The 25,039-nt window shown below is 39.8% G+C and overlaps 1 protein-coding gene across 25 annotated transcripts in view; it reads right to left on the bottom strand.

Annotated features, from left to right (window-relative positions):
* PLCE1 (phospholipase C epsilon 1) overlaps positions 1-25,039 on the bottom strand; it is a 338,893-nt gene that overhangs the window by 302,894 nt on the left and 10,960 nt on the right. For 2 of the 25 annotated variants that reach the window (XM_047425287.1, XM_047425286.1), the window contains one exon: positions 24,396-24,480. The exons of 20 other annotated variants lie outside the window; for them this stretch is intronic. The gene's annotated coding sequence lies outside the window, so the exon portion shown is untranslated. Of the gene's footprint in view, positions 1-12,494; positions 12,734-24,395; positions 24,481-25,039 lie in introns of those variants that run through there. 3 more of the 25 variants (XM_047425295.1, XM_047425300.1, XM_047425299.1) reach the window with 2 other exon arrangements.

Below are 25,039 nucleotides of genomic sequence, written 5' to 3'. Positions count from 1 at the left end.
AATTATAAAGGATATACAAGGCACTATAGGACTAGAAGGTGCCCATGATGAGCATATCATTCCCTTCCAGGAGAAGCAGTTGCTCCCGAGAAAACTAATCAGCAGTCACGCTCTGCTGCCAACACCAGCTTTGCCTTGCCTTTGCTCTTTGACAAATAGATGTCTTTCTTCCCCTTGCTTCTCCCGTACCCTCTTTTCCCAAAGAGTCATCAACTACCCCTTAATCCCTTCTATATGTGTTCCCTCAAGCACAAACACAGCCTCAAGGGTGAGAGGCTCCCAGTATATTCATGTCTCTACAACTACTCTGAAAAATCACTGGAAACCCTAGAAATCATATTCTTTGCAGGGAATAAACCAGCCCACACAGAGCAGCAGTGTCCTAGCTCAACATCCTAACAAATCCTATCACACAGCAATAACTATTATCAATACTTTCAGAAACCTCCTTCCAGAACACTCCCTATGCATCAACATACATAGAGATATATGTGTATAACTATGCAAATACCAGATAATGTTGGTCATTCTGTTCTGTACCTGCTTTTAAAAATTCAAAGCACACCATGAACAACTTTTCAGGTCAAGATTATATAGATAATTTTAGTGGCATATGGCACTAACTTGAATTCAAATATCTGCTCTATTTTTTAAAGAGATTTTTCAGGCCAAAGCCTTCAGATTGACAGCTAATATGTCCTTTCTTACCCATGAGGTAAGCAATTCAAAGGAGGAGAAGGGGAAAACATTTTTGGTGATGCTTAGGTCCTGTTCTAAGGACTTTGTAATTATTGTTGTTATTATAATTATAAATATCATCATCATCATCATAATTTTGAGACAGAGTCCCATTCTGTTACCAGGCTGAAGTGCAATGGCACAATCACTGCTTGCTGCAACCTCTGCCTCCTGGATTCAGCAGTCACATACTGTTCCTTCTATCATATTCTATATGTTAGAAGGAATTACTAAGTATAACCCACATTCAAGGGGAGGGGAATTAGGGTCCACCTTTTGAAAGGAGAAATATCAAAGAATTTGTGGACATATTTTAAAACCAGCCTGGGTTCAAGTGATCCTCCCACCTCAGCCTCCCAAGTAGCTGAGACTATAGCACTGCGCTTGGCTAATTTTTGTATTTTTTGTAAAGACAGGGATTCACCATGTTGCCCAGTCTGGTCTTGAATTTCTGGGCTCAAGCGATCCTCCCATCTTAGCCTCCCAAATTGCTGGAATTACAGGTGTGAGCCACTGTGCCCGGCCACTTTGCAATTATTATCTTGTGTAATTCTCACTCAATACTACAAGATAGTGTGATGGTTTTAAAATATGTCCACAAATTCTTTGATACTCCTCTCTTCACAAGGTGGAGCCTAATTCCCCGCCCCTTGAATGTGGGTTATACTTAGTGGCTTCCCTCTAATGTATGGAATGTGGTAGAAGGAACAGTACATGACTGCTGAGAATCAGTCATGAAAGTCATTGGAGCTTCCTCCTTGCTACTCCTCTCTCGCATGCTCTGGGGGTAATCTGCTGCCATATTGTAAGAAGAGATCCCTGTGGAAAGTATGGAGGACTCTTGACAACACCCATGTGAGTGCGCCATCTTGGAAGCGGATCCTCCAGCTATAGTCAAGGCTTTAGATGATTGTATCTGCAACCTATATCTTGACTGCAACCACATGACAGACCCTCAGACAGATAAGCCTCGTCCCAAATTCCTGACCACAGAAACTGTGAGATGATAAATGTTTATTGCTTTGAGCCACTACATTTTGGGCTAATATGCTACACAGTGATAGATAACTAATACAAATAATTTCTGCTATCCACATTTGAAAGAGTAGAAACCAAAGCAAAGAAAAGCTAAGTGAATTGCCAAAGATCCCTCCACTGGAAAATGATTGAGACAGGATTCAAATCCAAGAAGACTGACTACAGAATCTCTTCTCTTAGCCATAGACTATGCTGTTTTATCTTCCATCTAGTCTGAAGCCCTATGGGTTTGGGTTTCTGATGTCTTCTAGCTATGAAGACCCATGGCTGCTAGGAGAAGCCTTTCATTTTTTATTTTTTATCTTATTTATTTATTTATTTATTTATTTATTTTGAGATGGAGTCTCACTCTGTCGCCAGGCTGGAGTGCAGTGGCATGATCTTGGCTCACTACAACCTCCACTTCATGGATTCAAGCGATTCTCCTGCCTCAGCCTCCTGAGTAGCTGGGACTACAGGCATGTGCCACCACGCCCAGTTAATTTTTTGTATTTTTAGTGGAGACGGGGTTTCACCATGTTAGCCAGGATGGTCTCGATCTCCTGACCTTGTGATCCGCCCACCTTGGCTTCCCGAAGTGCTGGAATTACAGGCATGAGCCACCAAGCCCAGCCAAGAAGCTTATCTTATATGTGGCTTTGTCTCTGGAAGGCTGAGGATATACACAGACATCGAAGCAATGGTCTTTGCTTTGCCTCCAGCTTACTATCATGAATCATGGATGAGCAACATTACAGGGAGCAGACTTTATAGAGCACTAGACTTGGTTCAATCTCAGACCATTCCTTTATTCAGCAAATATTTGTTGAGTACACAATTAAATAAGGCAGGGATCTTGTCCTGGATTTCCTTACCATCTGATAAGTCACCAAAGTACAGTGTAAATAGAGCTATAATCTGCATTAACACAGAGGAAGAACATCTAAAGCAGACAGTGCTGATGGGGTGGGAGTGATTTCCAGGGAGGGTTTCCTTCACAAGAAGACAACTCAGTTGAGTTTCAAAAGATAAGTAGGAAGTAGTTAGATAAACAGGTGGGGTGGAGTTTTCAGGGAAGAGCAAATATGGGCAGTCATAAAAAGAAAACAGTCAGACATTGGGGTCTGGTATCTCAGGTAAAAATTTTAACCACTTTGGGGTTTGATTTCTTCTTCTGTAAAATAGAAATAAAATCACCTACTCCATCAGGTTGTGAAGGAAATACTTTGAAATCCAAAAATTCAAGGCAAATGTTTATTATTCTATGCCTTGAAATATCTTGGTAAGAAAGAACAACCAAGGTCTGGCAGCTCTGTTGTATCAGTGAAATGGCATTGAATTTACTGTACCAGATACACACCCTTCACTAGGTCCACTCCAATTTTAATTTCAGTTCTATATCTGGGATCAACTCCTTAAATCTAAGCTGCATGATCCTGAGCTGATTAAATTATCAATTTTGAGATATACTTTCCACATCTATAATATTGAGATGAAATATATATATACATTTTGTATGTCAGCAGCAGCTGACCCATCAATAACTGTTAACTTTCTATTTACTCACTCTTGGTCAGCTCTAGGTTGTTTTTAAGGGAAGCTGGCTAGGTTAGGTTAGATTTAGAGTTATAGTGGCATTCAACTGTTGGCTAAAGATAACCTAAAGCACTGAATGAAGAACATAGTCTAGTGGGTTTGAAGAAGAAAAAGATGGAAAAAGGGATTCTTCTTTTCTTAGTGTGAACAGGTTTATGGGGGAGATTGGATAAGTGCCAGCCTGGGAGAGGTCAAAGGTTGTGTGGGCTAAAAATATGGCAGAACAAGAGGGTACCTGTCAAGATAGTATGTCCAATCTTGAGATATTTGGGGATAGGTAATATGACTAAAGAAATGACTGGCCAGGAAGTCGATCTATGGAGATGCAAGAATTGCTGGAAATTCTAGCCAAAGCATTAAGACAAGAAAAATAAATGAAAGGTATAAGCAGAATCAGGAGTGACAGGGTAAGTTTTCAGCTTCAGGAGAGGGGACTATGGGCCAGGAATAATCCTGTTGATGGGTGTTTTCATGGGCTAAATCAAGGGCTGGAAAACTACATACTGAGTCCCAAATCTGGTAAGCCATCTGTTTTTGTAAATGAAATTTTATTGGAACACAGCCACATCTATTTATTTATGTCATGTCTGTAGCTGCTTTTGCATTATAATAGTAGAGCTGAAAAGTGGTAACAAATACCATATGGTCTACAAAGCCGAAAATATTTGCCATCTGGCTCTTTACAGAAAAGTCTGCCAGTCCATGTACTAGATAAATAATGAATTAATGAAATGCATGGTTAGAGCAAGAAAACTATGTGGGAGGCTTGATAGCCATCTTTATTTATTTGAAGAATTGAGATGAGGAAATGGGCTCATCTCATATTCTTTCAAAAGGGAGGATCAGGACTAAGACATGAATTATAAGAGAGGTAAGCTTTGGATCCGTCTGATAAAGATTTCCCTAACTTTTAGAGCTTTTCAACAAAGGGTGGGCTATCTTGGATGATGGCCTTCTTTCAGTTACTGATAGATTTAAACAGAGGCACATTATTCAGCATCAGGGATGCTCAATATATGCTGAACAAATAAACAGAGAGAATTTAGAATGACAGAGTAAAAATGGATGACTGTATACCAAGGGTAATTATAAAAACAATGACCTAATACTGAGCATGTATTATCTATCAGGCATGTTCTAAGCACAGAATACATACTATCTCATTTAATCTTTACAACATTATCAGTAGGGTGGCAGAGACTCCTAATTTCCCCCCAAAATCTGTTCTCATTTCCTCAGTAGTAGAACCTCTGAATTTGACCTAAGCATATGGATATTCCTTTATTAGCCTCCCTTACAGCTAGATGTGGCCATGGGACTAAGTTACAGCCAAAGAGATATAAGCAAAGTGGTTTGCAATTTCTGGAAAGAGAGCTTGAAGGAATAGAGTCTGCCCTTTTCCTGCCCCTCTTTCTTCTGCTGCTGATTGGAAGAAAGGCATGATAGCCAGAGCTGGAGCAGCCATCTTAGATTGTGAGGTGAACATGAGAATGAATGTCATGTATAGGAAAAAAAAAACAAGATAGAAACCTGACTGCCTGTTTCCGGGACTTAGGGGAGGGAAAAAAAATTCTATCTTGTTTAAGCCACCATTGTCTTGGGTTTTCTGTCACTCACATCTAAATCTTTTCCTAACTAAAACTAAAAAGGTGGGGGTAGTATTATTATCATACCTATTTTAGGAATAAGGCTCAGAATGCTTGAATGACTTGTCCAAGAGTACAGAAGAGTGAAATAACAAGAAACCTCTATAGAAAATTCCTGCATTGGTGGGAAAGTTATAGTCACTAATTCCTAGAATGTTTCCAATTTTATTCTCCTAAGCCAAATGGAATTCTAAAGAATAGTTAAGTTAGAAAAATATGAAATACAAGCATATTAAAGGTGTTTAAAGGAGGTGTGACTTAACAACAATAACAAAAACTAATTTATCAGTTAACTGCCTATTGGTTAAGCACCTGTTGAATTCCATAGAGTTTAGAAGGTAAGATGGCTACAAACCAAGAGATCAGTAAAGTCTAATGATAGGGTATTTGAGCTAGGACTTTATAGTAAGGTAGTAATTACCTGTATTCATGAAAAGGAAAAGAGACTTTAGATAAAGGGAACCAGGTAACAAAAGACAAAGTAGGAAAACACAATGCATAACCATGAATTCATCTGAAGTCCTCAGAAGAACATTTCATCCAATCAAAGACAGTAAAAGTTACTCAGTAATTTCACCATCACGGAAAAGAGACACTAAAGTAACTGCCAAAACTGGTAATAGAATTTAATATCCCTATTTGCTTCTTTAGAGTTTTATAGAGTCCCTTTGAGTATCTGTATATAACAACCAACCAACATTGGTCAGTTATTTACTTATGCATTCTCTTCCCCAAGGCCCACTCAGCAAAGAGATTAAAGAAAACATTTTGCCTAAGCAATCCTTTCCTCCCTTTTCCCTTATCACGTGCACACGGTGCACATGGATTTAAGTGTGTATACACCCACATGCAAACCCTACATAATATGAGTCAGTCTTTACTTTTTCTTCTCCCGAATATCTGCTGCTCCACTCCTTCCTGACCTCCTTTCTCTGAACTATTATGATGAAAATTCCATAACTCACAAGGAAACAAACCTCTTAAAACATTCCCTAAAGGCACTGGTGTACTCATCTGAGTTCTTTTCCAAGACCACAAAGATTTAACCCTTTGTGCCTTTAACTCCCTTTATTAGAAAAGTTTCTGAGTCTGGAATGCAAGGCTCCAGACTCAAAAAACCCAGATACCCTAATCTTTATACTTTATGTATATTACATATTAGAAGTTGACTAATAAGTAGATGAGAAAGCTACACAAATATTTTTGAACTAACACATTGATAAGGCTGCCAATACAGTAAAATAGAGGATCACAAAAAAGTTTGTCCATAACAGGTTAATTCCCAATTGCAAATCTCACAAGGAAAGGAAATCTTCCCTGTAAAGACAGTCTCTAATCAGCGTGCAAATCATCATAACTCTCCCAGAAATATGGGTCATTGATGTTAGTAGAATGTAACTTTAAGCCAAGAGTGGAAGTGGATAGAATTGTGATGTTGTGATGCTCACAGGACTCCCTCTCCTTCATTGTATAATAATGTCAAGATTCTGGAGTTATGTGTGTGTGCAGGCATGCACAAACACACACAGATCTACAACTTTGATGATATGAAAAGAGAGAAAAGTGGGCAACACAAGATTTTAGATGGCACTAGACCCACCAAAAGTCAATCCTAGTCTATTTTTTCCAGCTTCATCTCTGGCCAACCCCCAAAGAAGAGTTATGCAGTCACATTGGATTTTGTGCAATTTATTGAATCAGCCTAGCACTTAATGCCTCTGTGCATTTCCCTTCCCACTATTTTCTAACTCTGTTGACTCCATCATTCAGCTTAAATGCCATCTTTGTTCTGCAGCCCTCCCTGACACCCACCTGTCCGCATTAATTGCTCTCATCTGTTTCCTGTAGCTCTTCCTACCTTCCACCACCACATCATGTCATGGCACATTATTTTGTAACTATTGATAATATAGGGCCCCCTCACAGATTGAGAGCCCCTGAAGAACATGCATCTTTAAACTGAAAGGGTTTTATAAATATGCTACACTTTACATTTCCAGCATAGTACCAAGACATATAGTTAGTCTTAATAAACATTTGACCCTTTCCTTTCCTTCCATGGCTATATGAGCCCAATCCTTGTCCATTAAGATCTGGATTACTTAAGGGCTTCCAGTCTCTGAAACTGACTTCCTTCTGTTTCAATCCATTCCATATAATTTTCAGAAAAATCTTCTCCAAACACTATTTTCATCATATCACTTTACCTGAGAAGGAACAGAGTTCCATCTAGTAGTGTGTTAAATCCAAACCATTTACCTTGATCAGTAAGAAAATCAATTTCTTAAAAAAAGGGGGGCCTATACAGACTCTGATAAGATTGGCTTAAATCAATATATCAATTCTGGGAAAAATAACATCTTAACTATATTTAGGCTTCTACTCTATAATATAGTTAGCCAGTGCTAGTACACTTTCTGCTTTCTCTCTCTACATGGATTTACATATATATTTATATATATATGCAAAGAAAAATATATATGCATATACACACATAGACAGACATATGAATACACACACACATACATATGTATATATGCATATCTTCTTTAATTTACCTAAGCAATGTTTTTTATTTATCTGTATAGAGGTCTACACATCTTTTGTTAAGTATGTTCCTAAATATTTTATGTTAGTGGTGGTCTTGTAAATAAAATTATCTTAAATGTTATTTTTCAGTTGGTTGTTGCTAATACACAGAAATACAATTGTTATTTATAGACAACATAAATTATAACCTTGTTAAATTCAATTATTACTCCTAGCAAATATTTTTTAGGTGACTTAGAATTTTCTACATAGACAATCATCTCATCTTCAAATAAAGTTGTACTTCTTTCTTTCCAAAGGTAAATCTTTTATTTATTTTTCTTGCCTTACTCTAGTGGCTAGAATCTTCAATTATGATGCTAAGTACTAAGAGCATACATCTTTACTTTGTCCTCATTCATATGGGGAAAATATTCAATACATCACTATTTAATATATTAGCTGTAGGTGTCTTAATAAATGCCCTTTACTAAACTGAAGATTTTATCTTGTGTTCCTAGTTTGCTGAAAATTTTTATCACAAATAAGGATTTTCCAATGTTTTTCTGCATTTAGTGAGATAATATGATTTTTCCTCTCTTAATAGGTTAACATCGTGAACTATATCGACTAATTTTTCAAATTGAAACAATCTAGCAAATTTGTGGAAAACATAAAGGCTTTAGAATGGTCAGAATAATTCTTAGAAGAGAGAAAAATTGGAGAAGTTAACCTAATTTCAAGATACTACAAAGCTCCAATAATCTTGACAATGTGATACTGGCATAAGGATAGAAATTTACATCAATGAAATAGAATATAGTCTAGAAATAGATTTACATATATATGGTCGATTGAGTTTTCAACAAAGGTACAAATGTAATTAAATGGGGAAAGGGCAGTCAATAAATGGTGCTGGATTCAAATAAAAACAAAAATGAACATCAACCCCCATGTCATACCATGCACAAATATTAATTCATAAGGGATTATAGGCCAGAATATAAAATCTAAAACAACAAAAATTTCTAGAAGGAAACAGAAAAAATATTCAAGACCTTGGGATACAGAAAATTTTCTTAAGACACTAAAAGCACTAACAATTAAAAACACAATAAAATGAACTTAATCAAAATTTAAAACTTCTGGTCTTCAAAAAAAAAAAAAAAAAACCATTAAGAAGGACAAAGGTAAGACACAGACCGGGAGAAAATATTCACAGTACACATATCTGAAAAGGTTCTTGTATTTGTACATATAAGAAACTATTATTGGCCAGGCGCAGTGGCTCATGCCTGTAATCCCATCACCTTGGGAGGATGAGATGAGCAGATCACTTGAGGCCAGGAGTTCAAGACCAGCCTGGCCAACATAGTGAAACCCCATCTCTACTAAAAATACAAAAAATTAGTTGGGTATGGTGGTGCAAACCTGTAATCCCAGTTACTCAGGAGGCTGAGGCACGAGAATCACTTGAAGCCAGGAGGTGGAGCCTGCAGTGAGCAAAGATTATGCCACTGTACCCCAGTGTGGGTAACAGAGTGAGACTCTGTCTCAAAAACAGAAACAAAACAACAATAAAAAAAACTATTACTGCTCAATAATAAGCAAACAACCCAAGTTTTTAAGAAATGGGCAGAAGACTTGAACAGACACTTCCCACAAAATAATAAATGCAAATAGCCTACAAGCATATTGTGATGGATCAACAAAACTTCTGCATGAAAAAAAATGAACCTCAACCCCTATCTCACACCACACACAATAATTAACTCAAAATAGATAATAGTCCGACACATAAAAGCTAAAATTATAAACTTCTAAAAGAAAGCAGAAGAGAAAATTTTTACAATATTGGAATAAACAGAAACTTCCTAGGCTAAATACAAACCACAGAATAAAAAAATGGTAAATTGAATTAATCAAAATTAAAAACATCTCCTCTTCAAAAGACAAGCCACAGAATGATAAAAAATATTTTTAATACAAACATCTAACAAGGGATTTACATCTAGAATACACAAAGAACCTCTATAGCTCAATCATAAGACAAATTACCCTATTTTTAAAAATGGGCAAAGGTTTGAATAAGCACTTTATTGAAGAAGAAATACAGATGGTCTATAAGTACACGAAAAGATATTCAACATCATTAGTCATAAGGGAAATAGCAATTAAAATCACAATGAGATAGCACTTCACACCCACTAGACTAGCTAAAATTAAAATGACCAGCCATACCAAAGTTGGTAAAAACATAGAGCAACTGCAACATTGCTGGTCAGAATATAAAGTGGTACAGCCACTTTGGAAAACATTTTGGCAGTTTCTTATAAAGTTAAGCATATACTTAAATACATTTTACAATCCAAAAATTCTATTCGTAGAAGAAAAGTAAAAGCATATATCCATAAGCAGACTTATACAAAAATGTTTATAGCAACTTTATTCACAATAGCCCCCAACTGAAAACAACCCAAAAGTCTACCAGCAGACAAATAAATAACTTGTAGTATATTCATAAAACTAAATTCTACTCAGCAATAAAAGGAATGATTTCCATTATATAACAAACATGGATGACTCTCAAAAACACCACATTGCATGAAAGAAGCCAGACACTGAATGCATCTATTTATTTGAAGTTTAGATCTGTGCTGTCTAATACTGTGGGCACTAGCCACACGCAGTTATTTAAATTTAAATTAAGTAAAATTAAGTAGAATTTTTAAATTCAGTTCTTCCATTGTGCTAGCCACAATTCAAGTGTTCCAAGAGTCACATGTGGCTAGTGGCAAACATATTGGACAGCGGAGATATAGAGAACATTTCCATCATCGCATAAAGTTCTACAGGACAGTGCTGCTCTAAAACATGCAAAATCAAGCTATGGAGATAGAATTGGATCAGTTGCTGCTGGAAGCAGGGTGGGTGATGGGGAGGGTGGACTGGGAAGACTATAACATGTCCCAAAGCCACTTTTTGAGAAATATTGGAAATGTTCTCTCTTGATTGAGGTGGTGGCTATATAGATGTATACTTTACTCCCCATAACATATCAACTTTTCAAGTGGACCACAGGCTGCATTTCAATCCCACTTGCTCCTTTAGCTGGGCACCTCTGAGCAGCAAACAACTTCCTCAACTGTACAGATCTGATGCTGAAAATCTCAAATGAATTCATAGCACTGGCATAGCAGTGTTTGGGTTCATATCCTGCCTTCATCACTTAACAGGTTTATCTTAAATAACTCAACCTTGCTAGGCTTAGTTTTCATATCTGCAAAATGGGGAAAAATAAGTTTCTCATGTAATTCTCATAATGATCCTATGAAATAGCAGTCTCTCAAAAAGTAGTACCTTTTATTCTTATCATTATAAAAACCTCTCCAGAGTCATCAAATATTATTTCCTGATATAGGACTATGTCTATTTCTTTTAAATCACCCCTTCAGCACTATAATAATAAAGGCTCAAATATCTGTACACTTACTGTTTTGTGTAGGATATTATTATATGTTATATGTGATCATTTTCCTTATCTTATCCAGTGCAGGAAGCTAAATGATTCTTAACATTTCTACAAGTTTACTGGGTGCTTAGCACATGTGCAAGGTACCAGATTAGTTCACAAGAAGAGAAAGACAGAATCCCTCCCTACAGGAAATCATTACTTACTACAGAGTCATAAAGAAAAAAATTAGGATATGAACTAATACCACAAAATATTCAATAGTATAGTTCAGGTAGTAAAAAAGTTAGAGAATCATTAAATTGTAAGCATACTAATTGTGCAACAGACCAAAAGTGCAGATACAGATGGTAGAAATCAGCATAAACTCAAGTCATCAGTGAAGACTTTCCAGAGAATGTCATAGTCTGTAGAAGAGGACCTGCCCTGGGAAGTAAAGTCAGGAGAAAACAGAACAGAGAGGGAATCACAGTCACTTATTGGAGCTGGGATGGAAGGTCATGGGTTGGCCTTGCCTTCTGTTTAGCAAGGGCAGAGTAGCCTCCATCAGCAAAAGCAGTAGAACTATCCTGGGCAAGCCCAGGAAAGTTCTCATAGCAGGTCAAAGTAGCATAGCACATTTCGGAAGCCTGGCAACGAGGGGGAAGAGAAAAGTGGGAAGGGCCCTGAGCTGCTTCCTTGAACACATTGCATGACACATCCATGCATCAAAAATACAAGCTTCCTCAAGCAGCCAGTTGCCTCCAATTAGCTGGGTTAACTCAAGCTCGTATTATAAGCAATTTTAAATTAATTGACAGTCAACATCAGCACACCTATTTGCTAAATGCTTTTTCAAACCAGTACTCTAGAAGTCATTCCTTAATTAAGGTAATTGTCTTCAAAAGAATTAAAAACTCGTAAGATGAAAACTCACTCTGGACGAGATAAACATAAAAGAAACACTCTACCACCCTCACACATTCTTACATTACAGTCTTTCAGTAAAATGATCCTGATTTAATCAAAAGAAGATATGATTCAGCTTCTGCAACTCTTTTCTTCAGGCTCTGCCTCCTGTCTGGATCCCCTATGTCTGATGATCCCCTCATATCTGGATCCCCTACATCTGATGTCTAGCCTACATTTTATCATCACACTAAGCAAAACATTTTCCAGACTAAATAACTCTCCAGTCTCATAGAGATTCCCCCACAAAGCCGTAGCAGATGGGAAGCATTTTAAATCCATATACTTAATGTATAAGTATTATGTCATATAAGATGGTGATTTCTAGCCATTTTCTTTTTTATATTTGTATTATAATCAACACCAACACCAATTGAAGGCCTTCAGTGGCCCTCCAGTTAACAAGTTTAAAAACTATTCCTGCTTCTCATGGATGCCCATCAATGACATCAAATTCTGGGTGGATGCCCAAGGCAACAGCTGACTCAAACACTTGATGTCATTCTAATAGCTTGTTTTGGATAGAATTAAAAATGCAAATAGAATACCTCGTTAAAACTCAAAGTTCATTTTAGCTGTGCCTCTGATTTGCCACTGAGAATTCATCATCCAAAGGAAGGACACAATATTACTTACACTTCTTACCTAATTGAAAAGAAAAAAATGAAGCAAACAAGTTTCAGGGTTAGTTTTTGTTTTTTAAAGTGCTTAATCTGCAGGCCAATACTGCAGCACTTTTGCTATTTTTCTGGATGGTGTAACCCCAAATAAAACAGACAGAACTGTTTTCAGAGTCCACAATCTGAAGCAAGCAGGGTGGCTCTGACCTGTCCCCTCCCAGCCTTCAGGCCATTTCTGAGGCTCTGATGGGGGTTGGGGGTGGGGCTACCCAGGAAGGTCAAGGGAAATGCAGGTGTGGGGGATGGAGCAAATCCCAGGACCTGAATGGTGTGGGCTCCTCAGCAAATCAACTGCATCACAGAACATGAGTAGTATTAGACTTGACTAAGCATAGGAAGCATGTTAAGTATAGTTCATTTTTTAATATCATTACGTCATCATTTCAAATATCAGTTGTGATTTTATGGGTACCAGGGATTAAAAAAACAAAGCAAGCTTTGGCCAAAGTGCCGTACCATACTCTACACTAACTTTTTAACAAATAAAACAGGCTATTATATATTTTTCTGATTATAAAAGTAATACATACCTACACATTTACTGTGGAAAATTTGAGAAAGGGGCTGATAAACAAAAGAAATGATACCATCAATAAGTTCTAATTTTGTTATAACTTCCTCCCAGCTTTTTCCCCATGAACATAGATCTTTTACAGAATTGAAATTATACTATATATTGTTTTTATCCTGCTTCATTAGACAAAACACAGGTTAAGCATCCCTAACTCGCAAATCTGAAATCCAAAAATGTTTGAAAATCTGAAACTTTTTGAGTGCTGACATACCTGATATCATGTGACTGGTCAGAGTCAAACTGCAGTCAAAACTTTGCTTTATGCACAAAATTATTCTAAATATTATATAAAATTACCTTTAAGCTATACATATAAGGTATGTATGAAACATAAATGAGTTTAATGTTTTAGGTCTTATCCCCAAGATAGCTCATTATGTATAATGCAAATATTCCAAAATACAAAAAAGTCCAAAATCCAAAACACTTCTGGTCCCAAGTATTTCAGATAAGGGACACTCAACCTAGTACTATTGTCTAAATATAATAATATATAATAATATTATACTGTCTAAAGGAATAATTTTTGGACATAATAAAACCTACATAAATAGCAGCAATTCCTTTCCCAAAGTTCTAAATGTTATGTTTTAAAAGGAGGCGATCATGGAAAATCATACTGCCTTGCCCCTCCGAAGCCACACATACTCTCACCTGTTTTATGTATTTGTAAACACATCCTTGGACATATAGCGGCTTCCAGATTGCTCAATGTTTCCTCCAAAAGCTGATCAACCAACGGGTATGATTCATTCACTCATTCAACAAATAATTTTTAACACCCACTATGTGGTAGGTACCAAGTAAAAATGGTCCATAAAACTACTCTAATTGGCCTAATTGATATTTATCAAAGGGAAATTTACTAGGGTTAGGTGATAGTTTATATTTCATTCGGCCAAATAGAGCTGGGTTTGAGGCTGGTCTGATCAACACTAGCCTCTCCAACCCATTAGTTTGACACTCATTTCAGTTAGGGTGCGCTAGCCCCCTATTCCCTGAACCTGGCCTATTCATTCCCATTTCTGAGTCCTGTTTATCATTCCCAGGCTCCCATTACCTTCCTTTCTCCTGAGCCACGTTCTAGTCAGGAAGCTTTTCTGACCACTGTCTATAAGCCTCACTCTCAAACGACTGGGGCACAAAACATCCAGAATAGTCTTTAAACAACCCTGACTGCCCTGTTCCCAGTGGGGCAGTGGTAAGGATCTGGTTCAGGCACCAATCCCTCGTTTTCTTTATTATTTCCCACAGCTAAACAATAGATGCAATGCATACTACTAGTCACTTAACCATTCATCTCAGGAACTTTTCTATCTGAATCTAACTCTGAAAAGATTTTTCAAGAAAAGCATTCTACCCTCTCAGTTGCTACTGGCATTTTTTTTTCTATCCTGACTAATAACCTTGGTTGCTTTCCTGCAATGGATGACAGCTAAGATAAAGCAGCTTTGAGGTAGTAAAATTTGATTCATTTTACCCATAACTCCTCAAGAAAACATAACTACCTTGCACACAGCAGCCCCTATACTATATCAAGACCTCTGACTCCATGACCTGTGCTGAGCACCTCGTGTGTATAATTTTATTCAGTCTTCACAGGAACTGCGGTGAGGTATGTACCAAGATGACAATTTCCAATTTAGAGATAAGAAAACTGAGGTTTTGACAGATTAAGTCATACAGTGAACCACAGGTGAAGTGAAGATTCAAATCCAGGCAGCTGTCTCCCCATACTGTGAGTTAACCCATCCACCCTGGCTAATAGTCTTCCTCACTTTGTCTTCCCATGAGGCTGAGGCTAGTGATTCTCACATTTACATCAGCATCAGAATCATGGTGGGGACTTGGTAAAACTATCCTTGCTAGGGTGGAACCCAAGAGATTTTGATTCAGGAAGGGGAAAAGAGATCTGCATTTTTAGCAGGCACCTCTCCTATCACCACACTGCCAGGTGATTCTTGTCTTCAGCGTATACCTAAAGATATTACATTGAGCATAAGAGGATCCTACACATCAGAGCAGAGGCTTTTGTAAAATTTCCTCATTACCCATGATCCATCGGGGCTTTAAAAATGGCAGGAAGTTATTGTTTAATGGGTATGGAGTTTCAGCTTAGGATGATGAAAAATCTTGTGAGAGAGGCAATGGTAACAATTGCAAAACAATGTAAATGTACTTAATGCCACGGAACTGTACACTTTATTTTTTATTTTTTAGAGACATGATCTCATTCAGCTGGGACTACAGACATGCACCACCACACCCAGCTAATTTTTTTTTTTTTTTTTAAAGACAGGATTTCTCTATGTTGCTCAGGTTGGTCTTAAACTCTTGGCCTCAAGCAATCCTCCTGCCTCAGCCTCCCAAAGTGCTGCGATTACAGGCTTGAGCCACTCCACCTGACCTGTACACTTTAAAATGGTTAAGATGATCAATTTTGTTATGTATATTTTACCACAATTTCTAAGATGGCAGGATCCTAACCTCTTAGCTGCCTTAGGGAAGGTGTCTCTTGACACCCCCTCCTGTTGACCCAGAGGAAAGTGAAGTTTAATCCTAAGGGACCCCTTGAGAAAGGGACTACTAAAAGGCAACAGATGAAGCCAAGTTGGCCCTGTGTGGCCCCTCTTCAGTTTTGAGCTGGCTGTGTATACTCAGGTTGAGGGGACAGGGCTGTGCTTGTACGAGTTCCCAAGAAACTGCATCACACCTCATCCCCTGCCTGCCCACCGTGAAACAAACCAATGTCCAGTCCCTAACATAACCCATAGGTGGCCATGGACATGGGACAGAGGGAAGAGAGGAGCCCAAAGGATGGTAGGGAAAGAGCCCTCTTCAGGTTTCTAATGTTAGCCCCCCCAGGGATCATCTACAAGTACTTCAGGCCATTCCGATTTCGGCTCAAATGTCATCTCCTTAGAAAGGCTTTGCCTGCTTGAAAGCAGCCCCTCCTCCACACCCATTACTTTCTATAATATTACCCTGCCTGGTTGTCATTTGAGCATGCACCACCACTGGAAATTATATTTATTACTTATTTGCACACTAGTAACTTGTTTGCCTCCCCAGACTAGAACTAGAATTTCCTGAGAGCTGAGAATGTGCTACTTGTGTTTACTGCCCATTCTCAAGGCCTCACTTGAGACACGGTGGGAACCCAATAAGTATTTGTAGAATAAATAAATGAATCAGCCTCATTTGTTTCCTTTTGTATAATCAGTTCTTTCTACCTCACAAGGTGATTTGTAGGAAGGGTCAAATGAGATCAGATATGCCAAAGTGTTGCAAAAGGAAAGGTATCACATACATGGTGAGGTTATTGTGCTTGGCAGGGAGGGGGGCAGTTCACAAAACCCTGAGTGCCTTACAAGGCCTCCTTCTGTGACCTTGGCATGGTGATATGCTCCCTCCTCACTTCACTCCTCCTAGGTGGAGTGGAGATTTGTCTGGAATCTAAAAATGACAGTGCTCCACTCTGCAGATCATCCAAACAGAATGCAACCAAATTATTACAAGGTGAGGCCTCTCAGAGAGTTTTCTTACTAAGGGGCTCAAATAACAAGATGATACTTATGAAGTTAGGGATCTGCCAGGAAGGCAAACTTAGGGGAAGAACACAAAGATGCTTCCTGCCTTGGGTTAGTTGGGCTAAACAAGTATGAATTGAGTGAGTCGCTAGTATATTCCAGTTCCTGGGCTCAGTCCCAAGGATAGAGAGAGAGGTGACTGAGATTGTTACAGTGGAGTTGGGGAGACAGTTACTAAACAGAAAACTCAAAGTCAGTATGGTAAATCTGGCCTACACTAGTCAAGGAAGGCTTTCTAGAGTGACTGATGCCTAAATGAATTTAAAATATAAAGGATAGAGGAAAGAGGGGTTGGGGAAGAGTGAGTGGCCAAGGTAAGACACAGAATAGAAAGACTACACAGAGTTTAGGGAGTTCCAAGTAGTGAAAGCTTTGGGTATTTATTGCTGGAGTATCTATGTTGTGAAAAGGTTGGGGTGCAGGGGAGGGAAGGGGACCAGAAGATGTACCTGGAGAAGTGGGCAGCAGCCACTCTCCCACTTTGGGCTAACTGCAGCACCTCTGTCAGCACTGATGCAGCTGCTGCACTGCCCTGCCCTGTGAGGTGATGAGGAAGCTGCACCGTCCAGGGTGAGACTGCCTGATGCACAGCTTCCCAGGCAATCGTGAATTAGTGACACGGCCGATGTTTTCCAGCATGTGAGGCTGGGAATTCCTTCCCTTGATACCTCTCTCCAGTTTCCCTAAGCCTTACCCCTCCAAACTCAAGTCCTCCCTGTTTGCAGCACAGGGAAGTCTAGTTTATCTTTTGAGTGTCACCTGTTTCTACTCCCAGCCAAGCTTGACTTGCCCTGTTGGCTACTGGACCAATGAATGGGCTCATCCTGGGCAGAATTCCATAGGCATGTGTCTGAAACAAGAGGCCTCAAAAGATAAACCAGAGTTCCCTGTGCTGCAAACAGGGAGGACTTGAGACCGGAGGGGTGAGACTTGGGGAACTGGAGAGAGGTATCAAGGGAAGAAATTCCCAGGTTCACATGCTGGAAAATATCGGCCATGTTACTGATTCGCAATTGCCTGGGAAGTTGTGCACCAGGCAGTCTCACCCTGGGACGGTGCAGCTTCCTGAACACCTGGCAGGGCAGGACACCTGCTACATCAGTGCTGATGAAGAGGTGCTGCAGTTAGCCCAACATGGAAACTCCTCTGAGCCCTGAGTGAAGGCAGCAGAAATGAACAGAAGGAGTAGAGCCCTGGGGTTTTAGTAAAATGGTTATGCCCCAAATTTGGTCACCTGGTATGATATGATTCAGAGCATGAAAGGCGGAAAACCAGAGGGAGAGAGGGAAAGAAGAGAGAGTAGAAGGTCCCTCCATTTCTTTTCTCTGTTTTACACTGGAGCTGCCTCAATCCCATGCACATAGAAAAAAAAAGGAAGAGGCTAACAGTTGCTCACCTGGGGTTATATTTTCAGGGGCTGACAAACAAGAATTTTAAATTTTATATATTCATTTGGATATTTGTAAGAAGAAAAATGTTTTCAAATCCAACCCACCCGTCCCCAGATAAATCACTCCAGCTTTGGTCAGAACCTGGGGACAGAGGTGAAAATCCTTATCTCACTAGGACACTCATTTTTCCCATTCCTCCCCATAGCCTCCAGCTCTTCCAGCTTACTGGCACTGACAGCGTCCTGTTGTGGTTAAGCATAGCAAGTGGCTTCCCTGTCATAAGAGGTGAGATGGTTTGGATGTTTGTCCCCTACAAATCTCATGTTGAAATGTGACCTCCAATGTTGGAGGTGGGGCCTAGTGGGAGATACTGTATCATGGAGTGTATTCCTCATGAATGGTTTAATGCCATCCCCTTAGTGATGGTGATGAGTTCTCTCTCAGTTAGTTCACACAAGATCTGGTTGTTTAAAAGAATCTGGAACCTCCCCCTTCTCTCTGTCTTGCTTGCTCTTTGGTAATGTGACATGCTTGCTTCCACTTCACCTTCCATCATAAGTAAAAGCTCCAAAGCCTCACTAAAAGCCAAGCAGATGCCAGTGCCATACTCATACAGCCTGCAGAACTGTAAGCCAACTAAACCTCTTTTCTTTGTAAGTTACCCAGCCTCAGGCATTTCTTTATAGCAATGCAAGAATGACTAACACAGAAAATCAGTACTGGGGACTGGGGCATTGCTATAAAAATACCTGAAAATGTGGAAGTGGCTTTGGAAATGGGAAATGGGCAGAGGCTGGAAGAGTTGGAGGGCTCAGAAAAAGACAGAAAGATGGGGGAAAGTTTGCTACTTCTTAGAGAGACTGGTTAAATGGTCATGACCAAAATACTGATAGAAATATGGGCAGCAAAGTCCAGGCTGATGAGGTCTCAGATGGAAATGAGGAAGTTATTGGAACTGCAGTGAAGGTCACCTTGTTATACCTTAGCAAAGAACTTGGCTCCATTGTGTCCAAGTCCTTGGGATCTGTGAAAGTTTGAACTTAAGAATGATGACTTGGGGTATTTGGCAGAAGAAATTTTTTAAGCAGCAAAGCATTCAAGAGGTAGCCTGACTGCTTCTAACAGCCTACAATCAAGTGTGATCAGTCTAAGGAATGACTTAAAGTTCGAACTCTTATTTAAAAGGGAAACAGAGTATAAAAGTTTGGAAAATTCACAGCCTGGCCATGTGGTAGAGAAGAAAAGCCTGTTTTCAGGGTAACAATTAAAAAGGGCTGCAGAGCAACCACTTGCTAAAGAGATTGACATGACTAAAAGAGAGCCAAGTACTAATATCCTAGACAACAGGAAAAAGGCCTTGAAGGCATTTCAGATCTTCCAAGCTGCCCCTCCCATTGCAGGCTCAGAGGCTAAGGAGGAAAGAATGGTTTCAGAGGCCAGACCCTGGACACTCCTGCCATGTTTAGCCTCAGGACACGGCTGCCCCAGTTCCAGCTGTGGCTCAAAAGATTCCATGTACAGCTCAGGCTGCCTCTTCTGAGAGTACAAACTGCCATATGCCCTGGTGGCTTCCATGCGGTGTTAAGTGTGCAGGTGCACAGGATGCAAGTGTGACACAGGATGGCAGCTTCCCCCTAGATTTCAGAGGATGTATCAGAAAGCCTGGGTGCCCAGGCAGAAGCCTGCCATGGAGGGAGAGCCCCCACATAAAGAGACTCTACTAGGACAGTGCCAAAGGAAAATGTGGGGTGGGAGCCCCCACAGTGTTTTGTACCTAGTGGAGCTACCTAGTGGAGCCATGGAAAGGTGGCTGCCACCCTCCAGACCCCAGAATGGTAGAGCCACCAGCAACTTGCACTCTTCAAGCCTGGAAAAGATACAGATAGCAGACTCCAACCTGCGAGAGCAGCCATGGGTACTGCACCTTGCAAAGCCATAAAGCACCAGTGTGCTCTGAATGTGGGACATGGAGTCAAGGATTATATTGGAGCTTTAAGGTTTAATGCCTGCCCTGTTTTGTTTCAGATTTGCTTCGGGCTTCTTGCCCCTTTCTTTGGGCCAATTTCTCCCTTTTGGAATGGGAATGTTTACCAAATGCCTGTACCACCATTGTGTCTTGGAAGTAAATAAGTTGTTTTGATTTTATAGACTCATGGGTAGAGGGAAATGAGTCTTAGATGAGACTTAGGAATTGGTACTTGATGGTGGAATGAGTTAAAACTTTAAGGACTATTGGGAAGGGATGATTGTATTTTGCAATATAAGAAGAACATGAGATTTAGGGGGCCAAGGGCAGAATGACATAGTTGGATGTTTGTGCCCTCCAAATCCCATGTTGAATTGTGACCTCTAATATTAGAGGTGGGACCTAGTGGAAGGTGTTTGGATCATGGGGATGGATCCCTCATGAATGGCTTAGTGCCATCCCCTTGGTGATGAGTGAGTTCTCACTCCATTAGTTCACATGAGATCTGGTTGTTTAAGAGTCTGAGACCTCCCCCTTCTCTGTCTCTTGCCCCTGCTCTTGCCATGTGACATGCTGGCTCCTCTTGCCTTCCACCATAATTGTAAGCTTCCTGAGGCCCTCCCCAGAAGCACATGCCAGTACCATGTTTCCTATGCAGTCTGCAGAATGGTGAGCCAATTAAAATCTCTTTTTAAATTTTTAATAAATTACCCAGCCTCAGTTATTTCTTTATAGCAATTCACGAGAAGACTAACACAAGAGGTCAAAGGTGTGTTACTAGTTGACCCCTGGGAGGTGATGGGACCAGAGCAGTAAGGAGCAGTACTTAGAGTTCACCTCTAGCACCCATCCATGGTTCCACCCTGCAAAACCCATACACACGGCTCAGCCTCTCTCATCTACTTCTGAGTCCCCAAAATGAATAGGTCTCCTTCCTCTAAGCCATGGCAGCAACACTAAGAAGGAGCATTTTCTACCTCCTTTCTCCTTATGTGCCTCTTGTTGCCCCAGATGGCTTGTTACCTCCTGGCTGACTATTTACCAAAGTATTCCAGCCTCTGGGGCACTTCAGCAGTCTCCTAGAAGCAAATTCCTGTAGGATGGACAGATGTAAAAGTTGGAAACAAGGCATATTCTATCAATAGTGGAATGATTAAATAAAACATCATACATTCACCAGGCATGATGGCTTAAGCTTGTAATCCCAGCACTTTTGGAGGCTGAGGCAGGCAGATCACTTGAGGTCAGGAGTTCGAGACCAGCCTGGCCAATGTAGTGAAACGCTGTCTTTATTAAAAATGCAAAAATTAGCCGGGTGTGGTAGCACGCACCTGTAATCCCAGTTACTCAGGAGGCTAAGGCAGAAGAATAGCTTGAACCAGGGAGGTGGAGGTTGTAGTGAGCTGAGATCATGCCACTGCACTCCAGCCTAGGCAAAGGAGCAAAACTCCATCTCAAAAACAAACAAAACAAAATATGGTACATTTGTACCCAGAAAGCAGGTTTTATTGTTTTTGTGACTTAGATCTAGATAAATTTACCTGAAGATTTTCAGAGCATATTGTTACTTTTTTTTTTTTTTTTTTTTTTTGAGACAAGGTCTCACTCTGTTGTCCAGGCTGGAGTGCAGTGGCACAATCACCACTCACTGCAGCCTCAAACTCCCAGGCTCAAGCAATCCTCCTACCTCAGCCTCTCGTGTAGGTAGGACTATAGGTGTGTGCCACCATGTCCAGATAATTTTTCTTTTTCCTTTTTCTTTTTTTTGGAGAGATGGGGGTTTCACTATGTTGCCCATGCTGGCCTCGAACTCCTAGCTTCAAGCAATCCTCCCACTTTGGCCTACCAAAGTGCTGGGATTACAAGCATAAGCCACCATGCCTGGCCATATTCTTAAAAATAAAAATAAATCGAACAAAACATAGTATGAACTCATTTATAGAAAACAAAAGAAAACCACACACGAAAACAAAAGTATATCTTTATGTGCATGTGCATGTGTGTAACTATGTAAATACATAGAAAAAAGTCTATAAGAATACCCACCAGACCAAATAACTCCAAAAAAAAAAAAAAAAAAAAAGAAAGTAGGCTTTGATGGGGACTAACAGGGGGCTTTTAACCTATATGCAGTTTACATTATTTAGAAACAAGAATGTATTCACTCTTCTGGAAACACCAGTAGCAAAAAAAAAAAAAAAAAAAAAGAGAGAGAGAATGTATTTGTATATCACTTCTGTAATTAAAAATATAATTTTTTAAACCTGAAATTGTTAGGAGATTCTTTTCATCCTGCAGAACTTTGCTTTAACAAGTTACATACTAGCACCAGGAAGGCAGTGGAACTAGTTCCCACTTGGGCAAGGGTTTGTTTACACTGCTTATCTAAAGTTACAGCCAACAATGCTAATGATTCTGAATAGCACCAGCCACTCCTTGGCCATCCCCTCCCCTCCCACCCACAGATTCAACTATCACCTCTATGTGGATGACTTCCAAATGCCTCTTTCCAGACACAGCCTTTCCTTGGAGCTACAGTCCTGATTTTTCAACTTCCTCTTCAGTAGAGCCAACACACGATGTAGAAAACCAGACTCCTGTCCTCTCTCCCTCTCCCTAATCCAGCTCTTCTGCCTAACTTCCTCCTTCCTATGAACCGGTACCTCTTTTTTCCCCTAGAAACCCAGAAAGGAAACTTCCTAATCATCCATAGTCCTCTTTATCAACACACCCACCCCCAAATATCCAATCAGCTGTCACATTCTAATAAGTTTTCTAAAAGGTTCTTCCCAACTAATAACTCCCTGTATTGCCACTGACACCACCTCAATTCAGATCCTTTGCATACATCATCAGGACTAGCAGAATCACCCTCAGTGGTCTCCCTGCTCTTAACTGCTTTGACCCACTAACTAGATGTCCCATTTGGTAAAGGACCAACATTCCAGCCTGCCACAGTCATTTTGAGCCTTCATTCCATCACCTATTGTATCAGCTATTTTCCCAGCTTTGAGTCATTTGCCAATTTGGGAAATACGGCTTTATGCCTTCTCCAAGTATCTGATAAAAATGTTAAAGTGAGCTTAGCCAAGAACAAGGTTCTGACCGCAGATCTGTTTCCAAGGAAACCTAGAGCTTAGTACTAAAGTAAAGAAAGTAAATTTTAAAAAAAACAAGTAGTGTTGGATGTTTTTGACACCATCTCATTCATACCTTACAACAATCCCTTGTAGGAGGTATTGTTACCCCAAATTTTAGAGACTTTGAAACTGAGGCTGAGAATGGCTAGGTAAACATGTGAAAAAGTCTCACAGTTATTAAATGGTAGACTTGTCATTTGAACTTGTCTGTTGATTCCATAGCTCACGGTTTTTCCACCACACAGTAGAAACCTTTCATGGATCCTTACCTTCTAAAAGGTAAAGCACATGTCTCTTAATCTGCACTGAACGTCTTTCACATTCTAGCTCCAAACTTATCTTCGTAATAACAGATGATATTACATGTCAAACACAGTAATAAGCTTTACATGCTCTATTTCATTTAATCCTCATCACAACCCCATGAAGTAAGTGCTATGACTATGTCCATTTTACAGATTCAGAAGCTGAGGCATAGAGAGATTAAAAATAGCTTAATCTGTAAATCAGAAATTATCTAAAAATAATTTCTTAAGAATAGCTTCATCAAGGCCCACCCAGTTAGAAAACAGCAAAGCTGGATCAAACCCGGGTATGCCTGATTACAGAGATATTTAGAAGGCAGAATGGGCAGGAATTCCCATTTGTACAACCTATCAACATGTATTTCTTGAGACCTTTGTCACATGTTCAATATTGTGTGAGGGCTGGAAATAAGAGAAATGAACAACCAACAAAAGTCCCTGGCCTTGGCTTCATAGGGCACACATACACTCTATTGGGAAAGACAAACATTAGAATGGAAGGCAGCAGCGTGTCATGACTGGGAAGGTGAGGCCTTCAGTGCTAAGAAACCACAGACTCAATCAGGTGAGGGTTTTGGTCTCAGCAAGTGGTTTGATTAAGGTTCTACTCACTACGATGGAGAACTCAGGAGAAATGGGTTTAGGAAAAGATGCATTCAGTTTGGGACACGAGTTTTGGGGAGATGCTACCCAGCCAACCCGATATGCAGCTTTGGAGCTCAGAAGTGAGAATTAGGCTGTGGAGAGGCTTAGAATCATTGGTGTAAAGGTGCAACTGCACTCACAGAGGTGGAAGTCCTTACCAGACATTTCTTGGTAAAGATGCTGAGAAGTTCAGGTATTTGTCCATGTCTCTCTAACTGACTGAAACATCTTTGATGGCAAATCCTGGATATAGAATGAGGAATGCAGTAAACATTCTAGTTACAGAATGAACCAAAGTCCTTAATTTCAAAACGAGTAACAAAGCCATAAATCAATAGTAGAGCATTTATGTGAACTAGTTACTCTAGATTAACCTGAATGGCTTCCTCAATACAAGAGCAACCAATGTCCTGGGCATCCTCCCAAGTTTTTGCTGAGTCTTCCCACTGAATAGAACTGGTCACAAGGTGAGCATTTGCTGTCTCTCCTTGTACATTCTAGTCTGATTCCTTGGAATGTGCTACCTCAGTCCCAGCAGCCCTTGCTTCCAGAATTCTTCAAATTAAAAATAAATTTCTCCAAAAAGGAAGGAACGAGGATGGAAATGTTTAGCAAAAGAAAACACCAGGTAACAGCAACAGAAGTCTCTTTCCCATGAGTGAAGTTAGAGTTTTAACTAAGCCCCTTTAACAAAACATCGTCAAAATTTACAACTTACAAATGATTCCTCACTTATAATGCTTTGTTCTATCCTTCCATAAATAAATAACTGTTGGAAACACTGAGAAACAGAGAGAGTGAG

Source organism: Homo sapiens, chromosome 10, assembly GCF_000001405.40.
Source record: "Homo sapiens chromosome 10, GRCh38.p14 Primary Assembly".
In the NCBI taxonomy this organism is placed as follows: Eukaryota; Metazoa; Chordata; class Mammalia; order Primates; family Hominidae; genus Homo; species Homo sapiens.
This window is presented reverse-complemented; position numbering and strand designations above follow the sequence as displayed.